The sequence below is a fragment of the Homo sapiens genome, chromosome 13 (genome assembly GCF_000001405.40).
Source record: "Homo sapiens chromosome 13, GRCh38.p14 Primary Assembly".
NCBI lineage: Eukaryota > Metazoa > Chordata > Mammalia > Primates > Hominidae > Homo > Homo sapiens.
This window is the reverse complement of record NC_000013.11, coordinates 21,111,043-21,114,700: the sequence shown is the minus strand read 5'-3', so window position 1 is coordinate 21,114,700 and position 3,658 is coordinate 21,111,043. Positions and strand designations below refer to the sequence as shown.

Sequence of the window (3,658 nt, the reverse complement as noted above, 5' to 3'; positions counted from 1 at the left end):
CCAAAATGAACTGAAAGATTGCAACACCTTAAAGGAGGCCTATTAAGGATAAAACTAGGCCAAGCACCTGTAATCCTAGCACTTTGGGAGGCCAAGGAAAGTGGATCACCTGAGGTCGGGAGTTTGAGACCAGCCTGACCAACATGGAGAAACCCTGTCTCTACTAAAAATATAAAATTAGCCGGGCATGGTGGTGCATGCCTGTATTCCCAGCTACTCGGGAGGCTGAGGCAGGAGAATTGCTTGAACCCGGGAGGCGGAGGTTGCAGTGAGCCGAGATCCCACCATTGCATTCCAGCCTGGGCAACAAGAGCAAAACTGCATCTCGAAAAAAAAAAAAAAGAAAAAAAAAGAGTCTTTCTGTCTCCTCAGTGCCCCCTTAGCCCCTTGGTGGCAAGGGCAGTGTCTCATTCTGCTTGGTGCTGCTTCCTGCCAGCTCCATCGCCTGCACACAGCTGCTGCGCGGTAAACACAGGGTATACTCAGCGGGGCGGCCTCGAAGGCTTCATCACACCAGGGACTCTCCCCCGCATGTCTAAAGGATGGATGGGGCATCCGTGCTTTCCTCCTGAGCCCCCTGCAGCCACTCACCATTTGTCAACTTTATTCTACTTACCCCTTTAGCCTAACATAGAGGACCAAACTCAAGCAACTTACCACGTGGCTTCCCCCACGTGGCTCAGCACATCCACAGACAGCTAGAAGGGAAACCAGGACTGGCTCAGCCCTGTGGCTGAGCCCTTTCCTCCAAGGCTCCTGTCTCCAGGCCAGTTTCCGTATATAGGCTTCTTTCTGCTTCCCGGTTTTTCTGTGGCCTTAATGGGGGGAACTCATCCTAGCGACCATTCAGTAAAAGTCCAGGGCAAGACAAGTGCAGTGGCTCACGCCTGTAATCCCAGCACTTTGGGAGGCCAAGGCAGGTGTATCACCGGAGCTCAGGAGTTCAAGACCAGCCTGGGCAATATAGTAAGACCTCATCTCTATGTTTAAAAAAGTCCAGGGCAAGGCCGGGCATGGTGGATCACACCTGTAATCCCAGCACTTTGGGAGGCTGAGGCAGGTGGATCACGAGATCAGGAGTTTGAGACCAGCCTGGGCAATATGGTGAAACCCCATCTCTACTAAAAATGCAAAAATTAGCTGGGAGTGATGACACATGCCTGTAGTCCCAGCTACTCGGGAGGCTGAGGCAGAAGAGTCGCTTGAACCCAGGAGGCGGAGGTTGCAGTGACAAAGCAAGTCTCCATCTCAAAAAAAAAAAGTCCATAGCAAAATGTCTACAGTTGAGTCCAAGACTTGGGGAATCTAAGAGATTAAACCTATTTAAGGGTAACAGTAGTGATGAGTGGGGACTTCCATCTAAAACTCCTACACAGTCTATTAAGCAAATACCTACTGTGTTTTAACACACAGGCTACATTGCTTTAACAAGAAGATAGAAAAATAAAGGCCTAAATAATAAAGGAGCTCTTTTTTCTTTCGCGTACAGTCCAGATGTGGTGGCCCAGGCTCGTGGGACAGCTCTGCCATCCTTCCCTGGGGGAAGGCTCTGGTTGTTGACGTTTCCTGCAAAAGAGCAGGAGAAGGGGCAATGGGGGGAAGCCCTCACCGTCATTTGCAAGGACGTTGTCCACGTCACTTCCAATCACATCTCAGTGCAGGAACTCAGTCACAGAGCCACCGTGCACTGTGGGCGAGACTCAGGCTGCATGGCCATGGCCCTGCTAAAATCCATGGCCCTAGCCCCGGTCATTCTTTGCCCTCCCCTTCACACCAAGATACCCTTGTCCCCAGTATAACACATGATATAGTACAGATGCCCCTGACGTTCAACTTAAGATTTTCAACTTTGTGGTGGCGTGAAAGCAACACTCATTCAGTAGGAACCATATGTACTTGGAATTCTCATACAGCCCTTCTGTGTTCACTTTCAGCACAGTATTCAATAAATTGTATGAGATATTCAACACTTCATCACAAAATAGGCTTTGCGTTAGATGATTTCCCCAACTGTAGGCTAATGTAAGTGTTCTGTGGATGTTAAGGTAGGCGAGGCTAAGCTATGATGTTCAGTAGGTTAGGTGTCTGTTTTTTTTTTTTCTGAGACGGAGTCTTGCTCTGTCACCCAGGCTGGAGTGCAGTGGCGTGCTCTCAGCTCACTGCAACCTCTGCCTCCCGGGTTCAAGTGATTCACCCACCTCAACCTCCTGAGTAGCTGGGACCACAGGTGTGTGCCACCACACCCAGCTAATTTTTGTATTTTTAGTAGAGATGGGGTTTCACCATGTTGCCAGGCTGGTCTCAAACTCCTGACCTCAAATTATCTGCCCGCCTCGGCCTCCCAAAGTGCTGGGATTATAGTTGTGAGCCACTGTGCCCGTCTAGGTGTCCTTTTTTTTTTTAAGAGACGGATCTTGCTGTGTTGCCCAGGCTGGAGTGTGGTGGCTATTCACAAGTGTGATCACAGCACACAGCGAACTCCTGGCCTCAAGTGGTCCTCCTGACTTAGCCTCCTGAGTAGCTGGGATGATAGGCTCATGCCACCACACCTTGTTTAGGTTAAGTGTATTAAATGCATTTTTTTTTTTTTGAGACGGAGTTTCACTCTTGTCACCCAGGCTGGAGTGTAATGGCACGATCTCAGCTCACTGCAAACTCCACCTCCTGGGTTCAAGCAATTCTCCTGCCTCAGCCTCCCAAGTAGCTGGGATTACAGGTGTGCGCCACCATGCCCAGCTAATTTTTGTATTATTATTAGAGATGGGGTTTCACCATGTTGGCCAGGCTAGTCTCAAACTCCTGACCTCAGGTGATCCGCCCGCCTCGGCCTCCCAAACTGCTGGGATTACAGGCGTGAACCACCGCGCCTGGCCTTGCAACTGGGATTCATTTGAGAATGCGTGGGGCCCCAGGACAACAGGTGTAAATGGGGCTTGTTCTATGCAAACCAGGTCCTGGTCAGGCTCTCTGGTCACCCTTGCCATAGCCTGGCTCAGGGCTCCCTCCCTCCTGCCTGGTGGACAAGTTTCCTGCCTGGCCTCCCAGGTCCCAGGTTTGCCTTCTCCCTTCCAGTCTCCACACTACAGCCCAGGCATCTGCTTAATCCATCAAGCTAATCATGGCATTCCTGGCTCCAAACCACTCGGTGCTTCTTGGTCATCTTAAACTTTCAATTACATCATTGTCATCACGTCTTAAATCATTAATTACTTTTGCTGTTTGTATTAGTCTGTTCCTGCCACTGTAACAAAATACCTGAGACTAGGTAATTTATAAACAACAGGCTGGACACGGTGGCTCACACCTGTAATCCCAGCACTTTGGGAGGCCGAGGCGGGTGGATCACCTGAGGTCAGGAGTTCAATATCAGCCTGGCCAACATGGCAAAACCTCGTCTCTACTAAAAATACAAAAATTAGCCAGGCATGGTGGCGGGCACCTGTAATCCCAGCTACTCAGGAGGTTGAGGCTGGTGAATCGCTGGAACCGGGGAGGCAGAGGCTGCAGTGAGCTGAGATCGTGCCACTGCACCCCAGCCTGGGTGACAGTGCAAAACTCCATCAAAAAAACAAAACAAAACATAAAAAACACCAGAACTTTATTTCTCACAGTTCTACTTTTTTTTTTTTAACCAATACACTTGATGTCTCAAACTCGA

At 49.8% G+C, this 3,658-nt stretch overlaps 1 annotated feature.

Annotated features, from left to right (window-relative positions):
• Positions 314 to 1,201: an enhancer, noted in NCBI's record as "OCT4-NANOG-H3K27ac hESC enhancer chr13:21687639-21688526 (GRCh37/hg19 assembly coordinates)". NCBI's record gives its function as "activates a minimal SCP1, AML or CMV promoter by ChIP-STARR-seq in primed H9 embryonic stem cells {active_cell/tissue: H9 hESC(primed)}" and the evidence as "EXISTENCE:reporter gene assay evidence [ECO:0000049][PMID:30033119]".